Source organism: Homo sapiens, chromosome 1, assembly GCF_000001405.40.
Source record: "Homo sapiens chromosome 1, GRCh38.p14 Primary Assembly".
Taxonomy (NCBI): domain Eukaryota; kingdom Metazoa; phylum Chordata; class Mammalia; order Primates; family Hominidae; genus Homo; species Homo sapiens.
Window position 1 is genome coordinate 144128067 of NC_000001.11, and position 6473 is coordinate 144134539.

Consider the following 6473-nt stretch of genomic DNA (forward strand, 5'->3'; position numbering starts at 1 on the left):
AGTTCTGATGTCCACTCTCTCGGGGGATCACCAGTTCACCCATCTCACCCGGCAAGCTGGGCCCTAGTTTGGTGACAGGCATCTTCCACCCACCTGGGAGGCAGGGTTCAATACTCTGCCTCTGACCTTGTTTCCTTCTTCTGCCATCTGCTTAGGCAGCCAGAAGGGGTTGTCCAGCCAGCACCTGGGCTTTGGCCCTCCTCAAGAAGGTGGAGGAAGTTTCAGGCACCTGGCTCCTCAGGTGTCTGCCATCCAGGTGCTCTTCAGGCCTGCCCAGAAGAGCTCTCTTGATCCAGCTAGAACTGGCCAGAACTGACTCACTCAGGAATGTGTAGACTTTGACATCAGGGGCTGCTTTAATTTGCACAATTTCCAAATACCTCTTTTTTCTTCTTTTTCTGATGAGTCATCTCCCTAGACTTGCATTTTAAAGAGATAGATAGTTATCAGATTCCAGAGAAGACATGGTAGAACATTTATATGTCAAAGACACAGAGCTGAGACTTTAGTTTTAGATACTATAATTTGCCTAAACCAAAAAGGAAGGTGTAGGTAAAGTTCTAGTCAAGACAGGATGGCCAGGAAAAACACCTTAAACCAAGGGACGGCTTGCTTTGCTGATTTAAGCCAATGGCTTCTTTATCATAAGACTTCCCAGTGATTTAGTCCTCCCTCTCTTCCAGTGCACAGAGACATACCCCTCCTTACAAATAAAAATGTTCTTTATAGATGGAAATTTATTTTACAAAAATGTTTCAAAATAACCAGATGAAAATCATCCTTATGCCAGAAAGACTTGGTTTTTTTTTTTTCATTACTAGAAATGAAACAGTAAGTATTTGTTGTATTGACATACTTAGGCTTAGAACTATGTTTAACAAGAAAGCCTAATAATAGCACTGTGGTTAGACTGCAGCCTATTTTTCCAAACCATCATTTTATTATTAAGGAAACGAAGGATCAAATACCTTTCATTCATCTGATATGATCCTTTAAAACACATTCCACTAATAAGTCCCATTTGGAACAGCTGAAAATCTTTTAATAAAACTTTTTAAAGATGAGCTCATGGCTTAGTGTAAATTTCACAAGCTTAATTAGGTCAAATGGAAGGAACTCAGATGAGTAGTTGCCCAATCAGAGCCCATTATTTGTAAGTCATCAGACCCCTCCGTGACCTTAAAACTCCACTCTGACCTAATTATTGCAAACCTATATACAACAAAGTGAAAGGATTAATTTTCATTCATCAACCTCTCAATCCCAGATTTTCAAAGAAAAGACCTATGTAAGGAATACTTGCCAAAACCAGACAGGAGAATTAGAGCCTGCATACTTAAGAGTCAAATTTGTTCCACTACAGCCAGGTGGCATACAATTACATCATTTGGTTCTTCATACACTCTAGAACTGACTAGGACAGAGTTTAGCATAGAAAAACTGTAAGAAATAGGTTCTGAAACATAGAAATTGCGAAGTTCAAAAGGCTATGAAAAAAACTAATGCAAATGAGAGACTCCCCTCCCTTTGTTTTAAAGAAATAGACCCATCAGAGAAATGCAAATCAAAACCACAATGAGATACCATCTCACACCAGTTAGAATGGCGATCATTAAAAAGTCAGGAAACAACAGGTGCTGGAGAGGATGTGGAGAAATAGGAACACTTTCGCACTGTTGGTGGGACTGTAAACTAGTTCAACCATTGTGGAAGACAGTGTGGCCATTCCTCAGGGATCTAGAACTAGAGATACCATTTGACCCAGCCATCCCACTACTGAGTATATACCCAAAGGATTATAAATCGTGCTGCTATAAAGACACATGCACACGTATGTTTATTGCAGCACTATTCACAATAGCAAAGACTTGGAACCAACCCAAATGTCCAACAATGATAGACTGGATGAAGAACATGTGGCACATATACACCATGGAATACTAGGCATCCATAAAAAATGATGAGTTCATGTCCTTTGTAGGGACACGGATGAAGCTGGAAACCATCATTCTCAGCAAACTATCGCAAGGACAAAAAGCCAAACACCACATGTTCTCACTCATAGGTGGGAATTGAACAATGAGAACACTTGGACACAGGAAGGGGAACATCACACACCAGGGCCTGTTGTGGGGTGGGGGGAGGGGGGAGGGATAGCATTAGGAGATATGCCTAATATAAATGATGAGTTAATGGGTGCAGCACACCAACATGGCACATGTATACATATGCAACAAACCTGCACACTGTGCATGTGTACCCTAGAATTTAAAGTATAATAAATAAATATAAAAAAATAAAAAAAGAAATAGATGTTCTGTAAAAATATACACAATTTTTACAAATACATTTATAAGTTGTTTTTATCTTAAAAATTGGGGATATTTCATATTTATAACTAATTATTGAACCTTAAGTTTTCTTGGCCATTTCTAGGCTAATAAACTACGAATCATGTAAACTAAGCCAAAGTAGAATAGACATAAAAAGTCCTCAACACTTCAACTTCCTATCCTTCAAGAAGTATACCTCGCAAAGCTCATTTGAGAGAGGAAGAGCTTTCCTCCACCCTCTGTTTTACAGCGCTGAGGCTTCTCATCACATTTCTATGACTTGTAGCTTAAATCCATGTTACATGGTAACTGGCATTGTTAGTGCTTCTCTTTTAACACAGTAGGAATTAATCAATTTTGTGGTGTATTTAATTAATTCTATCACTAGAGGATTGTAAAATTACATATATGAATACCTCACTTTAGAGGCCACTTAATTTTTTTCCAAGGGGATATTTGACTACATTTCACTTGTGTCTTATTTAATGATTTTATAATTTAAACCCTAAATTATAAATCTAGAATTTAGAAAGTATATTTCCCCACTGGATTACATTTTTGGAAATATTATTTTATATGTGCACAAATATTACAAAATCACTGTAGACACCTGAAAACTATATTATCTTTTAAAGGCAATATTTACATTAAACTGGTATAACAAAATTGTTTGGTGCATTTTTTTCCAGTACATTTTGTATATATTACATGTTTAACCTTTTTTATTCAGCAAATAATTTTTGAGTATCTACTAAGTGCTAGGTTCTGCATTACTAACTGAATTTAAAGAGTGAAATAACAGACATGGTCTCAGACAATAAAAATTAACATTAGGTCACCTATTTATATATTTTAAAATGGTAATTATGAAAACTTTTTGAGATTTTTAACTAGATAACATTATAATAATACACTTGATGTTGTTAATATTTGCCAGTGAGCAAAAAAGAAAATAAAAAGATGGTTTTATTCAATATACACTTTAAAATTGCAGAAAATAGTCAAGTTTCTCTGCTTTGCAGTTGAATGTCTATGTGGTTTTCTCCGCAACTTGCCTTTTGTGGAGTGAAACAATTATTCTTCCAGCCCAATAAAGGCAGAAGAGTAACAATAAATCTAATATTTTAAGTGCTTCTCAAAAGATAGTAAACATATTACTTCAGAATACTGAGTTCAATAAGTTGACCTACAAAAAAAGCCAAACTGACAGTATTACTGAATAAGGAAAGGCCCAAAGAGACAAAATAATTTTTATTTTGTAACCTCGGTATGACACAACTTACCCTAACTATAAAGACCCTAAATTACCAAGATGGGTGCTTATAATAAGGAGAGTAAAAAAAGTCATTTGACTTTTAGCTTTTTTATTTCTCTCAGAATAAAAAGTGTAAAAGGAGTTTATAAGGAAGTTGATACTATAAGTTAGTACTACAATGACAGCACTTTTCAAGAAAAGACTTTTTTCTCTCTTACAAATATCATGTTAGCAGTACTTGTTTTCTCCAGAAATAATGAGGAAATAAAAACATAAGTATGTGGGTAATTAGTGTAGTTTCTTAAAGAAATGAGTTAGGCAACAGGCTAATAATGTATACTTAGCTGGCTTTTGAATGCCAACAATCATATTCTTTACAAGGCACAGAGAAGATTTTTCTGAAGAATAAGTATGTGAACCTGAGAAGTAATCACCACTTGGTAGTGACAATATGGATAGGGTGAAGGGTGTCATCAAGAAGCAATGAAAAGATACATTTGCAGTTCAATTTGAAAACCATGATGTTTAATACATATAGTAATAAAGAATACTTTCTCCTATTTCAAAATTATTTTAGAATTTAAGATAGAAGCTAAAATACCTAGGGATAATGATATGACTATCAAAAATTAAAAATTAAAGGACATTCTGAGTATTATAAGAATGAGAACTTATTACCCAATGAACAGGGGTTAATTCATTATGCTCCATATCCATTGAATTAAAAGACAGGCCCATTACCTGGATAATTTGAAAGTTTAATTTTATTTAAAAGTCTTGTTTCATTCATCAAGCTAAAGGATTAGCTCCCAGAAATATTCTAGGATTGCATATCCCCAACTCTGTAGGAAGTATAGAAAGAATGTTATAAGGGCCACCATCTAAACATTATTATGTAAATAATTTAGTACCATTCCATTTGCCCTTGTAGATTTAAAAATGTAAATGGCTTTCTCATATTAGGAAACATCACTTTTCAAAACTCAGATAAACATAGTACATTGCAAGAGAATAATTATTTTCTTTATTAAAAAAGAAATACTGGATGCTAAGTCCAAAAGACATAAATTATTTTATACTAATAACTACTAATATTTTATTCATTAAAATATAAAGGTCAAAGATTTCAAAATGATCTTTAAATGATTAATAACATGTTGATCTTTTTCTTCTTTCTGTAAACCTTTTTGAGTCTTAAAAATACTAAACTATACAAGCAATATTAAATAGTATATAAACTTGGATTAAAATATTCAAATTTACTAGAATGTGGACATTGGAAAGAATGAAAATAAACAGAAGCATAAAGCAGCAGATATAAAATTAAGAAAGCAACTAAGAGTGTTTAAAGTACATATTCATCTGTAGTCTAATGTCTACCATAAACAATGACTCTTCTCAGTAAAACACAAATTGTTCATGAAGGGAAAAAGCATGTTGTATTAGAGAATATTCAACATAATTTTTTTAGTACTAACTTGTGCCTGGAGTATTATTGGTTTTTCTATTATGAACTTATGCACTTGTTAATTTTTTTCATAAAAATTATATGTACAACTCCATTCAAAAGCAGTTTTTGGTGGGTTTTTTTTTTTTGAGACAGAGTTTTGCTCTTTTCACCCAGGCTGGAGGGCAATGCTGCGAATTTGGCTCACAGCAACCTAGCAACTTTTGCCTCCCAGGTTCAGGTGATTCTCTTGCCTCAGCCTCTCGAGTGGTTAGGACTACAAGCATGCACCACCATGCCTGGCTAATTTTGTGTTTTTAGTAGAGACATGGTTTTGCCATGTTGACCAGGCTGGTCTTGAACTCCTGACCTGAGGTAATCCACCCATCTTGGCCTCCCAAAGTGCTGGGTATGGGCAAGAGCCACCATACCTGGCCTCAGAAGCAGTTTTTAAAAGCAAACACAGTATAACACTAAAGTTGAAAAATCTATGCTCACCCAAGGATGCCAGGTTTAATAAATTATTTATAGAATACTGCATCAAAAATAAGATAATAACCCAAAATATACCATTAAAGATGTATCCACTCCTACAACTAGAGATAATTAATCTATCTAGTAGCAAATGATACTTCAATCAGTTTCAGCATGTCTGAAATCTTTAAGGACAAAAGTGATAAAACATGACTTCATTCTTCATTAGACTCTTAGAACACCTGAAGGAAAATAATTTCTGAAGCACAAAGAAGTAAAGAGGTGTAATCTTTCAAAAAGATATTCAGTGTTCAAAATCCAAGAGTGCAATATCAGGCTGGGTGCGGTGGCTTATGCCCGTAATCCCAGCACTTTGGGAGGCCATGGTGGGTGGATCACCTGAGGTCAGGAGTTCGAGACCAGCCTGGACAACAAGGTGAAACTCTTGACTGTACTAAAAATACAAAAATTAGCCAGGCATCGTGGTATGCACCTGTAGTCCTAGCTACTTGGGAGGCTGAGACAGGAGAATCACTTGAACCTGGGAGGTGGAGGTTGCAGTGAACCGAGATCATGCCACCTCACTCCAGCATCAGTAACAGAATGAGATGCCATCTCAAAAAAAGAAAAGAGTCTAATATCGGTATACACAGATAATATACTGAATGAAACAAATAGAATAATTTGAAGAGGTATCTTGATGAACAAGGAGTCATTAGAAAGGTTGTATTCATGTCTTTGAAGGAAATTGCAATGTGAGAAATTAATACTTTGACTACTATACTAAAAGTTTATTGCTAACATGTATTGAGTTATTAACGTGTGTTAGGCAGAGTACCATATAATTTACAAGTGTTATCTCATTTATTGTAGGTAAAATGTAATTTTGAACTCTGGGAGTATAAATGAATTAGATAGAATAAAATTCTATTTAAATGGCCATCAGTAAATCGGTATCTAGGAA